Source organism: Homo sapiens, chromosome 19 (assembly GCF_000001405.40).
Source record: "Homo sapiens chromosome 19, GRCh38.p14 Primary Assembly".
NCBI classification, from domain to species: domain Eukaryota; kingdom Metazoa; phylum Chordata; class Mammalia; order Primates; family Hominidae; genus Homo; species Homo sapiens.
The window spans coordinates 39,528,234-39,546,195 of NC_000019.10; the positions used below are offsets into that span (position 1 = coordinate 39,528,234).

Genomic DNA, 17,962 nt, shown 5'->3' on the forward strand with positions numbered 1-17,962 from the left:
AAAAAGAACGAGGTAAAACTATTGTTCTTTGTAGATGATATGATTGTATACCAAAGAAAAGCTACTGCAAACAATAAGAGAATAGAGTAAGTTTAATAGAGCACCAAAAAAAAAAAAAAAAAGATAGCATTCAAATTTACACACCATAAAACCTCATTTACAATAGCCATAAACAACAAACAGAAAACCAAACAAACCTTGGAATATTTTTAACAAAAATATGCAAGACCTATATGAAGGAAACTTTAAAATACATCTGGGGACAAATGAAAAGACTTACCACATTACTGGATAGGATGACATCGTGAGGATGTCAATTCTCACTCAACAGTATATATATTGAATGCAACCTATATAAAAATACTAACAGCTTTTGTAAAAATTGAAACTAGTCAAGATGATCCTAAAGTTCCACAATAGAAAAAAAAAATCAAAGAACAGCCTGAAAAACTTTGGAAAAGAAGAGCAATGAGGGTGGACTAGCACTACTAGGACCTAAAACATTCCAAATGAATAAAAATTGTAATGTTAACATTTAAAACTTAAAACTATTCATGAGTGTGGGGGGAAGGTAGGGTGCAACCTGAGGCAAAAAAAAAAAAAAAAAAAAAAAACCAAACAAAAAACCAGATTCCTTCATGATCCTGCAGTGGCAAAGACCTTTCTTTTTTTTTTTTTTTTTTTTTTTTTTGAGATGGAGTCTCGCTCTGTCACCAGGCTGGAGTGCAATGGCATGATCTCGGCTCACTGCAACCTCTGCCTCCCGAGTGCAAGTGATTCTCCTGCCTCAGCCTCCCAAGTAGCTGGGATTGCAGGTGCGCGCCACCATGCTCAGCTAATTTTTGTATTTTTAGGAGAGATGAGTTTCACCATGTTGGCCAGGATGGTCTCGATCTCTTGACCTTGCGATCCGCCCACCTCGGGCTCCCAAAGTGCTGGCATTACAGGAGTGAGCCACACCCGGCCCCATGACTCAAAGTCTAGAAACCGCAAAAGAAATAAACTGAATATACACAGCTACATTAAAAATTTTTTTCTCTTTTTTTTTTTTTGAGACGGAGTCTGGCTGTGTCGCCCAGGCTGGAGTGCAGTGGCTCAATCTAGGCTTACTGCAAGCTCCGCCTCCCGGGTTCACGCCATTCTCCTGCCTCAGCCTCCTGCATAGCTGGGTCTACAGGCGCCCGCCACCACGCCCGGCTAATTTTTGTATTTTCAGTAGAGACGGAGTTTCGCCGTGTTAGGCAGGATGGTCTCGATCTCCTGACCTTGTGATCCGCCCGCCTCGGCCTCCCAAAGTGCTGGGATTACAGGAGTGAGCCACCACGCCCACCCAACATTTTTCTGCATGGCAAAAGGATCACAGCAGTCTGAACTGCTGTGAACTATATTCCATGTCATCACAAAGGGCTAACTTCTTTAGTGACTGACACATAACTTACAAGCCAATAAAAAATAAGAATATGGACAGATAGTTCGCTGAGAAATGAAAACAAATGGCTCTTAAGCATTTGAAAACATGCGTCCTCACTCGTAATTAGAGAAATTCAAATTAAAACCATAGTGAGAAACCATCTTTTACTGTCAGATGCTTCCAAAGCTGTCAGATTAGCCAGGCCGTGGCGAGAGGCACAACTATCCCTGGCTGAATGGAAGGTAAACTGGTTGAGCCCCAAGGACAGCACTCTGGTGACACATTAAAAATACCAAGGTGGGGCCGGGTGCGGTGGCTCACGCCTGTAATCTCAGCACTTTGGGAGGCTGAGGCAGGTGGATCACGAGGTCAGGAGTTCGAGACTAGCCTGGCCAACATGGTGAAACCCTTTCTCTAAAAAAATACAAAAATTAGCTGGGCACAGTGGTGCACCTGTAGTCCCAGCTACTCGGAGGCTGAGGCAGAATAGCTTGAACCCGGGAAGTGGAGGTTGCAGTCAGCTGAGATGGTGCCACTGCACTCCAGTTCAGGCGACAGAGTGAGACTCCGTCTCAGAAAAAAAACAAAAACAAACAAAAAATAAGGTGGCTGGGTGCGGTGGCTCAAACCTATAATCCCAACACTTTGGGAGGCTGAGGCAGGCAGATCTTGAGGTCAGGAGATCGAGACCATCCTGGCTAACCGGTGAAACCCTTTCTCTACTAAAAATACAAAAAATTAGCCGGGCATGGTGGCACGTGCCTGTAGTTCCAGGTACTCCAGAGGCTGAGGCAGGAGAATCACTTGAACCCAGGAGGCAGAGATTGCAGTGAGCTGAGATTGCACCACTGCACTCCAGCCTGGGTGACAGAGCAAGACTCTGTTTCAAAAAGAAAAAAAAAAAACAGTGTATTATGGAAAACGAGTAAACACGTATAAATGCATAGAAAATGTTAAAACATTTTGCAAACAACCCAGATGTCCAAAAGGTGTCTAGTTCATTATACTAAGATAAGGCTTTACATTGTAGTTGTAAAAAAAAAAACGCCCAGTGGAGTAGCTCACGCCCAGCACTTAGTACTTTGGGAAGCCGAGGCAGGAGGAACAGTTGAAGCCAAGAGTTGGAGACAAGCCTAGAAAACATAATGAGGCCCCATCTCTGTTTCTATATATAAAAAAAGAAAAAAAAAACCCTGATATATAAATCTCTCCATATATAACTGAAAAAACCCAAGATGCTGATAGAGGTATACAATATGTTACCTTGATTTTATATTTTTAAAAATTTATACCTCGTGATGCAAGTTAACTACCTTGATATTAAAAGGGAAAATGCACAATATTTAGATTGATGTTTATTTGCATATGCATTAGAAAACCTGAAAGGCGTACAGTGAAAAAGCAAAAAACAAGCAAAACCAAGAAAACAACAACAAAACTCCAAGCCACAAGCAATGGCACCTGCATGGAATAGTTCTGAGTTTGGCAAAGGACAGCAACAAGAGAGATTTCTCACAGCATCTTTTGATACTTTTTTTCTTTTTTTTGAGACGGAGTCCCACTCTGTTGACCAGGCTGGAGTGCAGTGGCGTGATCTCGGCTTACTGCAACCTCCGCCTCCCAGGTTCAAGTGATTCTCCTGCCTCAGCCTCCCGAGTAGCTGGGACTACAAGCGCGTGCCACCACACCCAGTTAATTTTTTATTTTTCGTAGAGATGGGGTTTCACCATGTTGGCCAGGGTGGTCTTGAATTCCTGACCTCAGGTGATCCACCCGCCGTGGCCTCCCAAAGTGCTGGGATTACAGGCGTAAGCCAGTGCGCCCGGCCGATACTTTTTTTTGTTGAGTCTTGTGAATAGAATACATATTCTAGAATAAAATAAAAAGCTTAAAATTAACAAAAAACAAGTTTATTCCACACCTACCCAATTTCACATAGACTTGAAAACACTGATCATATAATACGTGGTTTTTTCTATTGAATATTTACTGTTCATCTAAAGTACCTCAGAAAACACAAATATGAATCTTACACTAGGATTTGTTGACATGACCACAAATTGTGAAATTTCAAAGTCCTCTCAATAGCCTTCCAATCCTAGTAACTCAGGTACACCTGGATTCCTGACAACTCTATTTCTTTGTTTTCTTTCATCACTTAGGTTCATTTCTATGGGTTCTGTTATTGGCATTTTTTTTTTCTCATATCTTTGCAAAACCATCCTTTATGGTGAAAGTCATGAAGGATTCTTCACAAATGCAGGAAAATGCATTGCTAACAAAGTGCTAAGTCAGAAGTGTCTTGGGACCTGTTTGAAAACAAGATTCGGCCGGGCGCGGTGGCTCACGCCTGTAAAGTAATCCCAGCACTTTGGGAGGCCGAAGCGGGAGGATCGCTCGGGTCCAAGCGTTCGGGACCAGCCTAGGGATGCGAGACTCCCTTCTCTATTTAAATAATACTAAAAAAGAAGAAAGAAAACAAGATTCAACAGTCTTGTCTGTTTCCATTTCGGAGTGTGCTTCCTCCTTCAATTGCACATTGCCGTATTCCCTTCCAGTTTGCATTCCCCCTAATGACTGAGTTAACTAAACTGGCACAGCCTGCCTGTTCTTTTGATCCCAAAAGGGTCACTTGGCTATTCCTTGCCACCAATGTCATCATCACAGCCGACTCAGTCGGCCAGAGGACTGAGGGCCTCGGAGGCAGTCAGCGCTACCGTAAACGCGACAGCAGCGAAGTCCATCTGCGGGGGATCCGCGTCAAAGGCTGCTTCCCTCGCCTTGCAGCCTTCCACAAACAGCCTGCGGCGTTCCTCGAAATCCCGTAGTAATCTGACCGGAATCATGGAGCTACCATCCAGATACTCGCGGAACAACAGCTGCCGGTTAATTTCTAAGAAAGCGAGCTGCTGATGGGGGTCTGGCGCGGAGGCCAGGCCCGGGACGCTGCTGGGGATGGGCCCGGGCACAGGGCCCGGCATCCGCGCCATGGACCGCGCAGCTTCGGCCACTGGGCCTTCCCGAGCCTCCTGCACCCGAACCCCGCCGCCGACTGCCCCCCGCAGTACGTCGCTGACGCCACTCGCGGTGCCCACCTGTGGGACACTGCTATCTCCGGGGAGCTCGGACATCTCCAACAGCCCAGTCGGCTCCGCCATAGTCCCAGCGTTTCTACGGAGACTGGAATAACGGCACTGCACTGCTGTATGCGAGACCTGCGCATGCGCGAGTCTCAGTGAGCGCGTAAACGCTGTGCGTGCCAGAGTGTGCGCATGCGTAAGCACGGTGGCCAATCCTCTAGCGTTCCCTAGCGGTCCTGAGTAGCCATTACGTCTGTAGCCGCCTCTGGTCCTCTGAGCGCCTGAGGACCTGCGGACTGCGCGGTATCTTAAATTACAACCACTTCAGTATTAATGTAAAGTTCCTTATACGGTCATTTTCCAGCTCCTGTCTTTTTTTTTTTTTTTTCAGACTGGGTCTCGCCCTGTCGCCTAGGCTGGAGTGCAGTGGTGCGATCTCGGTTACTGCTGCTTTGACCTCCCAGCCTCAAGCCATCCTCCTGCCTCAGCCTCTGGAGTAACTGGAACTACAGGTGCACACAACCACACCCAGCTGATTTTTTATTTTTTGTAGAAATTGGGTCTCACTATGTTGCCCAGGCTGGTCTCGAACTCCTGGACTCAAGTGATCATCCTGCCTTGGCCTCCCAAAGTGCTGGGATTACCGGCCTGAGCCACTCGGCCTGGCCTGTAAGTAATATTTTGACACTGGAAGTTTGGGGGTTTCCCAAAACCACCTTTAGGTTTGATAATTCCCAGAGCTCATTGAAATCTGTTATATTCACAGTCATGCTTATTACAGGCAAAGGACACAGATTAGAAGAGATGTATAAGGCACAATCTGGGATGGGGAGGGTTCCAAATGTGAAGTTCCTGTGTTCCTAGGGATGTGTTACCCTTTGTCGTCCATGTGTGGCAATAAGTGTGGGGGTAGTGCTAACATAGGACTCTCACCCAGGCTTTGGTGTCCAGAGTTTTTACTGGGGTTTTACTACCTAGGCATGCTTGATTAAACCATCGTCCATTTTGTTGAAGTCAATCTCCAGCCTCCTACCTGATATCACATGGCTCCAAGCCCCAACTCTCTAATGATATGGTTAGCCTTTCTGTGTGGCTAGCTCTGATCCTGATGATAACCCAAAACGTGAAAGTCTATGTTCCATTTAAAATCAGTCAGCTGTGGCTGGGTGTAGTGGCTCATGCCTGTAATCCCAGCAAGTTGGGAGGCAAAGGTGGGAGGATCGCTTGAGCCCATGAGTTTGAGACCAGCCTGGGCAACATAGTGAGACCCCTGTCCCTACAGAAAAAAAAAATTAGGCAGGCATGGTGGCATGTGCACCTGTAGTCTCAGCTATTCAGGAGGCTGAGGTGGGAGGATGACTTGAGCTTGGTAGGTGGACTGTGCAGTGAGCTATGATTGCACCACTGCACTCCAGCCCTGTATGACAGAGCAAGACCCTGTCTCGAAAAAAAATCCTTTGAATTTAGCTGGAATCCAAATATGAGAGTTGCTGGCAATTGAACTTCAGGAGGATCCATCTAAAAATTCTGACCTATCACAGGTCGTGTCTGGGAGCTGATTGGGTTGGAAATCATTCTGACTCACGTGTACCTTACTTTGTTTCTACAGTTCTCTTGGAGAGATGGAGTTCTCCTACATGTGACATATATGCTTCAAAAAGCACATTTGTGATATTCCACAGAAGACAAAAGAAAGGACTTCTCTGGAAGGTAACTTCAAGGGGACAACAACAGAGCTATGGACTGCAGGAAGATGGCCTGCTTCTCTTCCAGTGTGATTTGGATCATGGCCATTTTGAAGCCTTTGAACTGGGATTAGTTGCTGGGCTGGGTCATCAGGAACTTGCGTGTCCATCTCAGGGAGACCTGGCCTTCAGAAATGACAGCATTCGGCCCCAGGAGGAGCCTGCAATTCGGCCTCAGTCTTCCCAGCGTGTGCTGCCCATGGGGATACAGGACAGTAAGGAGCTAAGCAGAACCTGCTGCCTGAATGGGGGAACCTGCATTGGGGTCCTTTTGTGCCTGCCCCCCGTCCTTCTATGGATGGAACTGTGAGCACGATGTGTGCAAAGAGAACTGTGGGTCTGTGCTCCATGACACCTGGCTGCCCAAGAAGTGTTCCCTGTGTAAATGCTGGCACGGCCAGCTCTGCTGCTTTCCTCAGGCATTTTACTGGCTGTGATGGCCTTGTGATGGATGAGCATCTCATGGCTTCCAGGACTCCAGAACTACCACCGTCTGCATGTACCACTTTTATGCTAGCTGGCATCTGCCTTTCTATACAAAGTTACTATTAATTGACACTGACCTATTTCCAGAAATACCATTTTAGATATCATGCAAATTTCATGACCAGTAAAAGCTGCTGCTACAATGAAAGATGATCATTTGTTAGTTTACTTAAAATAATGAGTATATTTCCAAAATGGTCTCTAACATTTCCTTACAGTATCAACAACTTCTTACTTCTTTGCCCTGCCCTCTCCCAAAAAACGACTTCTTTTTTCAAAAGAAAGTCAGCCATATCTCCACTGCACCCAAGTCCAGTGTTTCTTTCTTTTTTTGAGATGGAGTCTCGCTCTGTCACCCAGGCTGGAGTGCAGTGGCACGATCTCAGCTCACTGCAACCTCTGCCTCCTGGGTTCAAGCAATTCTCCTGCCTCAGCCTCCCCAGTAGCTGGGATTACAGGCATGTGCCACCATGCACGACTAACTTTTTTGTATTTTTAGTAGAGACCGAATTTCACCATATTGGCGAGGTTGGTCTTAAACTCCTGACCTTGTGATCTGCCTGCCTTAGCCTCTCAAAGTGCTGGGATTACAGGCGTGAGCAACTGCTCAAGGCCTCGTGTTTATTGATACATGTAATTCTACCAAGGTCTTCTTAATATGTTCTTTTAAACGACTGAATTATATCTTCAGATTATTAAAGACTAATCTTAATGTGGACCTTAGGATACAGTTTTGAGTAGAGTTGATCAAAATCAATTAACATTGTCTCTTTAAAAGGAAAGACAGCCTCTTTAAGGCGAGGAACCAGAGTGATGAAGGAATGGAAGTCTGTCTGCATGTGTGCAGGGAGACTGGGTAAGAAAGAGGAAGCAAATGGGAGAGAGAGGTTGGAAAACATAAAATAGGTTATTTAACTGGTGATTAGGTGGGTGTAGAGAAGCAAGTTAAAAGGCTAAATGGAAGGGCAAGTTTCCATCATCTAATGAAAGATATATAAGACAAGGACTCCCCTTTTTTTCCTAAAGGCATTGTAAAAAGAATTGATTTTTAGACGGAGTCTCGCTCTGTCGCCAGGCTGGAGTGCAGTGGCGCAATCTCGGCTCACTGCAACCTCTGCCTCCCAGGTTCAAGTGATTCTCCTGCCTCAGCCTTTGTAAAAAGTCTTTTTAGAAAAAATATTATACCTCAATGTCCCCAACAAAATTGCTTAATAAATTATGCTTCCTCCAAGCTATGCAATTCTTTTAACTGTTGTAGAAGAGAAAATGTTCAGTGTATTTAGTTGTAAACCAAGTGATAAAACCACATATTGTAAAGCTCATTTAAAAAATACATTGTATATATGTGTATGCACAGTAAAAATGGAAAATATATTGAAAAAAAATTTGATCCTTATATTGTACCTGAGAATAAATTTCAAATGGCTCAAAGATTCAAATGTGGACAATGAAACCACACACACACACACCCAAGACTACCTTAGGATTCAAAATACTGCAGGTTTATTTATTTTTTATTTTTTGAGACAGGATCTCACTTTGTCACCCATGCTGGAGCTTGCTGGGCTCAAACGATCCTTCTACCTCAGCCCCCAGAGTAGATGGGATTAGAGGCTTGTGCCACTACACCAGGCTAATTTTTCATATTTTTCATAGAGACAGGGTTTCGCCATGTTGCCCAGGCTGGTCTTGAACTCCTGAGCTCAAGTGGTCTGCCTGCCTCAGCCTCCCAAAGTGTGGGATTACTGATGTGAGCCACTGTGCCCGGCCTCCTGCAAATTTAAAGGAAAATAGGCAACAAAAATTACCATGGCCAAAGGCTTTCCAAAAAGCCAAAATCTAATGACAACTTGTGAAAAAATATTCGTAACTCATATCCCAAGCTATTATCATACCTCATATCACTAACATGAGTATCATAAATAGCTACTGGATTCAATGAAGAAAGGACAAAATTATCTGGGAGGGGAATGGATAAAGAATATGAACAAGGCATGGTGGCTCACACCTATAATCCCAGAACTTTGGGAGGCCAAGGAGGGAGGATCATCTGAGGTCAGGAGTTGGAGACTAGACTGGCCAACATGGTGAAACCCATGTTAAAAATACAAAATGAGCCAGGTGAAGTGGCATGTGCCTGTAATTCCCGTTATTTGGGAAGCTGAGGCACGAGAATCGCTTGAACCTGGGAGGCGGAAGTTGCAGTGAGCTGAGATGGTACCACTGCACTCCAGCCTGGGCGAGAGAGTGAGACTTTGTCTAAAAAAAAGAGTATGAACAGAGAGTTTATGGAAAAGGGAATATATATGACTCTTAAAAGATATTTAACTGGCTGGGTGCGGTTGCTCACGCCTATAATCCCACCACTTTGGGAGGCCGAAGTAGGTGGATCACCTGAGGTCAGGAGTTCAAAACCAGCCTGGCCAGCATAGTGAAACCCCATCTCTACTAAAAATACAAATTAGCCAGGTGTGTTGGTGCATGCCTGTAATCCCAGCTCTTGGGAGGCTGAGGCAGGAGAATCCCTTGAGCCTGGGAGGTGGAGGTTGCAGTGAGCCAAGATCGCACAATTGCACTCCAGCCTGGACAACAAGAGTGAAACTCCCATCTCAAAAAAAAAAAAAAATTTAACTTCGCTCATCATAAAAGCGAATTAAAACTGATATACCATTTTTCAACTATCAGATTCGCAAAAGCCAGATATTATTGATGATTTAGTGTGTTGGCTGGGCTGTAACGAAACATCTATGATCATTAATTGCTGGTGGGAGTGCAAAGCAGGACACATATAGAATGCTGCATAGCAATATTCATAAAATCTCAAAGGAGTAACTTTGGCCCAGAATTCTCATTTCTGGGGCATCAGCCTACAGATATTACATGTAAAAAGGAATCTAGGTAGCTATTGATCATGAGACACATCATTAGGGCTGGGCGCGGTGGCTCACACCTGTAATCCCAGCACTTTGGGAGGCCAAGGTGGGCAGATCACAAGGTCAAGAGATCAAGACCATCCTGGCCAACATGGTGAAACCCCGTCTCTACTAAAAATACAAAAATTGACCAGGTGTTGTGGTGGGCGCCTGCAGTCCCAGCTACTCAGGAGGCTGAGGCAGGAGAATCACTTGAACCTGGGAGGCGGAGGTTGCAGTGAGCCGAGATTGCGCCACTGCACTCCAGCCTGGCGACAGAGTGAGACTCCCTCTTAAAAAAAAAAAATCACTAGTTTCGTGAAAACCCAAGGAAAAAATGATCTATTACAGCATCAAATATAAGATGCACCCACATTTCAGAGATGTTCAAATATGAAGTGAATTTTGAATTGAAGCAATACTATATTTGTGCACATGCCACATGATATACAAGATGAACTACTCTAGCAATTGTACAAGATGAACTACTCTAGCAATTTTTTATTCTGCCCAAAGAAAGAGATGGGAAACAACCTAAATGTCCGTCAATATATCCCTGGTTAAGTAAATTTGGACATAACCTCAGAATGGAATAAAATGCCACTTTAAAAAATAATGAGGAAATACAGTGGTTTGGAAGGGTCAACATATGTTCTTAATGAGAAAGCAATGTATAAACCAGTAAATATAATATGCCGACTTCTGTGAAGAAATAAAACAAGTAAACCCAGATTTATATGTGCCTGTGTACACGTAAGGAAACTAGAAGGACGGAAAGGAAACTGTGGCTATTAGAGGTCATCGTTGGTACTGGATGGAGGAAAACAAGAATGGAAGGCTTTTCGCTGTATATTTTATATATTTTTTGGCTTGTGAATAGATTTTTTAATACCAAAAAAACTTTAAAAATTAAAAATTGAAAGAAAAAAGTCCAGAAATTTGACGTTCTTGAAAACATGATTTATCACATAATATATACATTTACTTTGCTTGTCACTTGAAATGCCTAAGAAAACACAAAATCAATCTTAAACTAGAAACTTCTATTGAATATGACATGAAGAGAGCACATATTCCGACAATTTCAAGTTCTTTTCATAGCCTTCCAGTCCTAATAACTCAGCGTTAACATCTTATTCTGTTCAGCACTATTTGATAATTTCTTTCATCCTCATGGGCTCTAGTATTGATGTTTCATCAGTCTCAATTTTATAAAACCATCCTTTACTTTGTAATAAAGCAATGCTGAGAGACATTTTCCATAATGCAGGGGGAAAAATGTGGATCAATCACAAACTCAAAGAACGTTACAGTTATAATGCTTTCGACATTTTTTTCTACTTCTGTGATGCTTTTTCAAGATAAGCTTCCCCCTCCCCCTTTTTTTCCCCTCCACCTGTGCACTGTCTTATCGCGATATACTCTTGACTTCTGAAAATCAAGTTGCAGGATTGGTATGACTGGAATGCAGAGGTTCTCTTGAAGTAGTGTCACCACATAACTATTCTCTATTGATAAACTTATCGCAACCAAGTTCTTCTATCAGAGGGTTGATAACTTCAGAGGCAGTCAGAGCTATCGTAAAGGTTAAAATATCGAGGTCCACCCTGTGAGGATTTCGCTGATATTCGGCATCAAACGCTGCTTCCCTTGCTCTGCAGGCTTCCACGAATCGCCTGCGGCGTTCTTCAAGCTCTTGTATTCTGCCGGGAGCAATCGGGTAATTTTCCAGATAGTGGCGGAGAAACTGCTGGTAATTGATGCCTAAAACGCTAAGTGGGTGGCGGAGACGGAGATAGGGCAACGCAGCCAGGCCTCCGTTCCCGTGTCTGGACCTGGGCCTGCCCTCGGGACCCTCTTCGTCCACTGGCTCCCCCAGCAAGCGGGCGACCTCCGCCATCCGGGCTTCCCTGGCCGCCGCCGCCGCCGGGCTTTCCCTGCCCGCCGCGGCTGCCCTGGCCAACGCCGCCGCTGCCACCGGGGCTCCCCTGGCTGCCGCCGCCGGGGCTGCCCTGGCCGCCGCCATCCGACCTTCCCTGGCCGCCGGCACCGGGCCTCCCCTGGCCGCCGCCATCGCGCCTTCCCCGGCCTCCTCAGGCTGTGCCGGGGCCGGCTCCCGCCTCCCGCGGCCTACCTCCGCCTGCGGGACGTCTCTGTCACCATTCGCCGCGCCTGTCTGCGGGACACTGCTGTCTGCGGGCAGCTTGGACATCTCAGACCGTGGGGTCAACTCGGCTGCTCCCAGAGAAACTGGAATAACTGGACAGAGCGATGCCCGGCGGACACCCCAGTGCGCGTGCGTGGGCGCTATGCGCGCTGTAAATGCAGTGTGCGTAACCGGGCGCGAGAGCATAGATTCTTACCGCAAACCCTGGGAGCAGTGCGCATGCGTACTTTCCCGGCGCCCGCCGTTCTCCAGATGCCCCCTCGAGGCCGGGAAGCGCCAACGCATCTGAAACATCCCAACGACGAAGGGCGGGGGACATTTCAACCAGTTTGATGTTTATGAGGAACGCTTACAAGATCGCTTCTTGTAGGCGTTCTCAAGGTTCTGTCCTAGGGTGTTTCTCTTTGTTCTCCAGTGATTATGTGCCACCTCTATTATATATCAAGATATTTTAGATTCATGGTCTTTTCTGGATTTTTAAATTGTTTTTCATTCATTCCTTTGCCTGTCTTCATCCATACGGATCGTCCTAGCTACCAAAGCTTTGTAATTACAGTCTTTTCGTGTTATCTTTAACATTGCATTGACTACCTTGGACATTTGTTTTTCGAATCTTATTTGTGCAATATAACATGCAGAAAAGTAAACAAAACATAAATATACAGCTGAATGATTTATCACAAAGTGAACATCCGTTTAACTACCACACAGTCCAAGAAGTGGAATATTTCCAGCATCCCAGAACCCTTCCTCTTCTTCTTATCACTATCCTTTCCTTTCTACGCAGAAGTAACAACTATGCTGATACTTATGGTAATCACTTTCTTGTTTTTCTTTTCATTTTACCACCTAAGGGTGCATTCCTAATGCTGTAGTTTAGTTTGGTTTGTATTCTGAACTTTATCTATGTGAGAAACACACTCACCTGCGTAATTTTTGTATTTTTAGTAGAGACGAGGTTTCACCATGTTGGCCAGGATGGTCTCGATCTCTTGACCTCGTGATCCGCCTGCCTCGGCCTCCCAAAGTGCTGGGATTACAGGCGTGAGCCACTGCGCCGGCCACTTTCTTCCCTTTTATGGGCTGACCCCGCCTCTACATTCTGTTCCCTTATTGTGACCTTCTAGGTGGATGAGCCCTGCAGTTTGTTATATTTGCAGGCTGGCTGCCAGTACTTAGATTTATCATGCCTCAGAAATGGACCATTTAAAATGTTTTCTCACATACACACTTGTATCTGTTTTTTTGTGCATTATTTTTATGAGATTCATCCATTCACATTTTCTCTTCCTCCCTCCCTCCCTCACTCCCTTCCTTCCTTCCTTCCTTCATTCCTTCTTTCTTTCATCTCATTCTGTTACCCAGACTGGAGTGCAGTGGCACAATCACAGCTCAACGTGGCCTCAACCTTCCGAGCTCAAATAATCCTCCCACTTCAGTCTCCTGAGTACCTGGGACTACAGGTGTACACCACCACACCCAGTTAATTTTTAATTTTTTTGTAGAGACAGGGTCTCCTTATGTTGCCCAGGCTGGTCTCAAAGTCCTGGGCTCAAACGACCCGCCTGTCTCAGCCTCCCAAAGTGCTGGGATTATAGGGTGAGCCAGAGCACTCGGCCTCCAGCCTACATTTTCATTATGGTTTATAAATACTTTATTTTCTTGATAGTTATTATATTCATTACCATTTTTTTTATGAAGTCTCGCTCTGTTGCCCAAGCTGAAGTACAGTGGTGTGATCTTGGGTCACTGCAACCTCTGCCTCCCAGTTCCAGTGATTCTCCTGCCTCAGCCTCCTGAGTAGCTGGGATTACAGGTGCGCGCCACCATGCCCGGCTAATTTTTGTATTTTTAGTAGAGACAGGGTTTTATTATATTGGCCAGGCTGGTCTCGAACTCCTGACCTCATGATCCGCCAGGCTTTGGCCTCCCAAAGTGCTGATATTACAGGCGTGAACCACTGTGCCCGGCTTATTACCATTCTTTTATGGATCTTGTAATATTAAAACATGCATCTTATATACTGACTCTCCAATTAATTTCCCTTTGTTCTGATTAATGTGAACAAACAAAATAATTTGATTTGATTTTGCTGGTGGTGGTCCCCGTCATGATGCCATGATTCATGACCATCAACAAATGACTTAAGTGACTTATCGTTCTCTGCCCTATCAGAAGTAGCTATTCTGAGGCAGTAAGGTCTCATCCACAGAGCACAAGACTGCATTTTAATTTTCCTGGTCCAAGCACCAAATTAATAAAACACAACAGCTAGTCTACTTGCTGCTTCCCACCAGCATCTCTGCAATCACTAAGTGTGCGGCTCCTTTAAGGCAGCTCCCAGGCTAGGCTGGAGACAGATCTATTGTTCTCACCCTCAGGCTGCCTGGAGAGTCACAAATATTTAACAAAGGAAGTTCCAGACTTAGGTGACAACATATATTATCACAGGAAGAAGTAGAAATCATAGTAATTTGCTGTAATCCTACAGAAGCGGATATAATCTTGTTCTCTGGACTAAGAGTCACCTTACAGCAGAAGCTGAAAGGCCCTCTGATTTTCTAAGAATAGAAATTGCTCTAAGTAAAATGATGGTTTATTAGATCCGGAAGTGATATAAAAATGGTTCTAGGAAAATGAAGTGAACTAAAATAAGAAGCTACAAATAGAGGAAGGCAGAAAAACTTGGTGATAATGTGAGGGGATACAAACAAAAATTTGAGAGGTAGTCCAGGTTTGCTGTTGCTCCCAAGACTGTGCCTGCGGTGGCTGCAGCATCTTTGTAATTCACTGCCACTATTTCGGGATGACTTGAGGATGATTGTAACCATGTTGTAGACTAAACCATTAAGGCAGCTGGGATCAGGGGCTCCATATTGCTTAAAATCTTTACAGCAGAGGTGTGTGTGTGTGTGTGTGTGTGTGTGTGTGTGTGTGAGAGAGAGAGAGAGAGAGAGAATTTGAATCCAATTAATATATATATTTTGAGAGAGTCTGGCTCTGTCATCCAGGCTGGAGTACAGTGGCGCGATATCTTGGTTCACTGCAACCTCCACCTTCCAGGTTCAAGTGATTCTCCTGGAGAATCCCGCCACTGCACTCCAGCCTGGGTGACACAGTGAGATTCTGTCTAGAAAAAGAAAAAAAAAAGACATAGATTCTTGGCTGGGCGTGGTGGCTCATGCCTGTAATCTCAGCACTATGGGAGGCCAAGACAGGAGGACTGCTCGAGGCCAGGATTTCCAGACCAGGCCTGGGCAACATAGCAAGACCCTGTCTCTAAAAGAAGAAATTAGCCAGACATGGTAGTGTGTGGCTAGCTACTCAGGAAGCTGAAGCAGGAGGATCATTTGAGCCCAGGAGTTCAGGGCTACAATGAGCCATGATTGTGCCACTGCACTCCAGCTTGGATGACAGAGTAAGACTCTGTCTCAATAATAATTAGAAAAAAGAAGTAGATTTTTTTTCTCCATCCTTTGAATGAGAACTGGTTTATGACTTGTTTGACCCATAAGATGTGGTAGAAATGATGGTTCATCAGTTTCAAGACTAGTGCTCATGAGGAATTTCATACTTCTCATTCTCTCTCTAACTCTATAACTCATCTCCACCATGAGGACAAGTCTGGACCAGCTTTCTGGAGGGTGGAAGACCATTCAGAGTGGAGGAATGTGGTCTCAGACAAGGCATTCAAAATCAGTCAGTCTGGCTGGGCTCAGTGGCTCACGCCTGTAAACCCAGCACTTTGAGAGGCCGAGGTGGGCAGATCACCTGAGGTCAGGAGTTTGAGACCAGCCCGGCCAACATGGTGAAACCTTGTCTCTCCTAAAAAATACAAAAATAAGTTGGGCTTGATGGTGCGTGTCTGTAGTCCCAGGAGGTTGAGGCAGGAGAATCGCTTGAACCCAGGAGGCAAAGGCAGTGAGCCAAGATTGCACCACTGCACTCTGGCCTGGGCAACAAAGTAAGACTCTGCCTCAAAAAAAAAAAAAAAATCAGTCAGTCCCCAGCTGACCTACCAACTGACTCTTAGATGCATAGGCTCAATAAGTGCTTCTTGTTTTATGCCACAGTGTTTGATATGATTTGCTATGCAGTATCATTGTGGCAATAGATAACTGTTAGCTAACGGTTGCAGAAATTGGTACCAGGAGCTGGGCACTGCCCTAACAAAATCCTCAAGTATGTGCCAGTGGCCTTGGCACTGCATAGTGGATGAAAGGTAGAAAATCACAAAGGAAACTGTTAGCAAAGCTGCAGAATAGTGAGAAAATTGTTATTGGAGGCAGAAAAACTGGTGACCTATGTTATGATGTAGTGAAACGATTGCTAAACTATCGCCCGAGGTTACTTAGAAGATGGAAAGTATTTCTGATGAACTGTTGTATTTGGATAAGGGAACCTCCAGACATAATGCTGGCTGCTCATGTGGCTGAGTATGATAATGCATACCAAGAGTGGGGTGAACTATAGGGGTTGACTGATTTTCTAGAAGAATTCAGGGGAAATACAGGGGGACTATGACTTGCTAGGATGGAAAAGAAAACTTTTTCTCACTTCCAGTCTCTCCACCCACAATTTTTTTTTTTTTTTTAGACAGAGTCTCACTCGCTCTGTTGCCCAGGCTGGTATGCAGTGGGGCAATCATGACTCACTGAAGCCTTGAACTCCCTGGGCTTAAGTGATCCTCCCGCCTCAGCCTCCCAAGTAGCTGGGACCACAGGCATGTGCCACCATGCACAGCTAATTTTTAAAACATGTTTTGTAGAGATGGGGTCTTGCCGTATTGCCCAGGCTTATATTGAACTCCTGGGCTCAAGCCATCCTCCCGCCTTGGCCTCCCAAAGTGCTGGGATTATAGGCATGAGCCATCGTGCCTAGCCACAAAAGATTATCAAGGTGAAAAAAAGCCTGTGAATATGGATCAAATTAAAGGTGTGGCCTTCTGACCCTTTGTTATGACTGTTGAAAATACAAAGGTAGTGCTTGGTGAAAAGCCGACCAGTCAGACAAAAGGGTTTCTAGGAAGCTTTAAGGGCATGCTCCCTCAGAAACCAGATCTTAAAACAGGAAGAAGTTGGTCTAGAGAGAGAGGGTATTTCTTGAAAACAATAGTGATGTGGTTTCTGGAGGATGGAGTGAAGTATAAGCAGATAAATAGCAAGCTTACAAAGTTTGAAAGGGAATTGTATAGGCAGGACTGCCAGCATAGACTTTAAAATTTTTTATTATGTACTTTTTTTTTTTTTTTTGAGACAGGTTCTCCCTCTGTCACCCAGGCTGGAGTGTAGTGGCACAATCTCAGCCTCGCTGCAGCCTCCGCTCTTCAGGCTCAAGTGATCCTCCCACCTCAGCCTCCTGAGTAACTGGGACTACAGGCATGTGCCACCATGCTCGGCTATTTTTTTGTATTTTTAATAGAGATGAAGTTTTGCCATGTTGCCCAGGCTGGTCTTGAACTCCTGAGCTCAAGCAATCCACCTGCCTTGGCCTCCCAAAGTGCTGTGATTATAGGTGTAAGCCACTGTGCCTGGCCCATTTTTAAATTTTAATTCTTGGCTGGGTGTGGTGGCTCATGCCTATAATCCCAGCACTTTGGGAGGTTGAGGCAGGCAGATCACCGGAGGTCAGGAGTTCAAGACCAGCCTGGCCAACATGGTGAAACCCCGTTTTTACTAAAAGTACAAAAATTAGCCGGGTGTGGTGGCACATATCTGTAATCCCAGCTACTCAGGAGGCTGAGACAGGAGAATCGCTTGAACCTGGGAGGCGGAGGTTGAGGTGAGCCAAGTTTGTACCATTGCACTCCAGCCTGGGCGACAGAGTGAGATTTTGCCTCAAAAAGAAAAAAAATTAAATTCTTTTAGAGGCAGAGTCTTGCATTGTTGTTCAGACTGAACACGAATAATCAGATTGTTTGTTTCCTTGCTATTGAGTTGTTTGAGTTCCTTATAAACTTTGGATATTAACCTATTATCAAATGTATGGTTTGCAAATCTTTTCTCCCATTCCATAGGTTGTCTTTTCACACTATTGATTGATTCATTTGATGGGCAAAAGCTTTTTAGTTTGATGTAATCTCACTTGTCTATTTTTGCTTTTGCTGCCTGTGCTTTTGGGGTTATATCAAAAAAAAAAAAAATAGTTCAGATCAATGTCAA

The 17,962-nt window shown here is 44.9% G+C and overlaps 2 protein-coding genes and 1 pseudogene across 2 annotated transcripts, besides 3 other annotated features; 1 reads left to right on the forward strand and 2 right to left on the reverse strand.

Annotated features, from left to right (window-relative positions):
- Nucleotides 1-2,753: 2,753 nt before the first annotated feature.
- EID2B (EP300 interacting inhibitor of differentiation 2B) lies at nucleotides 2,754-4,619 on the reverse strand. Its single transcript, NM_152361.3, has one exon. The coding sequence runs from the start codon at nucleotides 4,567-4,569 to the stop codon at nucleotides 4,084-4,086; it is 486 nt and encodes a 161-aa protein (NP_689574.1). The 5' UTR covers nucleotides 4,570-4,619; the 3' UTR covers nucleotides 2,754-4,083.
- Nucleotides 6,263-8,100, forward strand: CRIPTOP7 (CRIPTO pseudogene 7; annotated as a pseudogene).
- Nucleotides 10,474-11,928, reverse strand: EID2 (EP300 interacting inhibitor of differentiation 2). Its single transcript, NM_153232.4, has one exon. It carries the CDS (start codon nucleotides 11,844-11,846, stop codon nucleotides 11,136-11,138), a length of 711 nt encoding a protein of 236 aa, NP_694964.3. The 5' UTR covers nucleotides 11,847-11,928; the 3' UTR covers nucleotides 10,474-11,135.
- Nucleotides 11,633-11,712: a silencer, noted in NCBI's record as "silent region_10611". NCBI's record gives its function as "represses an Ori minimal core promoter by ATAC-STARR-seq in GM12878 lymphoblastoid cells {active_cell/tissue: GM12878}" and the evidence as "EXISTENCE:reporter gene assay evidence [ECO:0000049][PMID:35858748]".
- Nucleotides 11,633-12,183: a biological region, named in NCBI's record as "H3K27ac hESC enhancer GRCh37_chr19:40030557-40031056".
- Nucleotides 11,684-12,183: an enhancer, noted in NCBI's record as "H3K27ac hESC enhancer chr19:40030557-40031056 (GRCh37/hg19 assembly coordinates)". NCBI's record gives its function as "activates a minimal SCP1, AML or CMV promoter by ChIP-STARR-seq in primed H9 embryonic stem cells {active_cell/tissue: H9 hESC(primed)}" and the evidence as "EXISTENCE:reporter gene assay evidence [ECO:0000049][PMID:30033119]".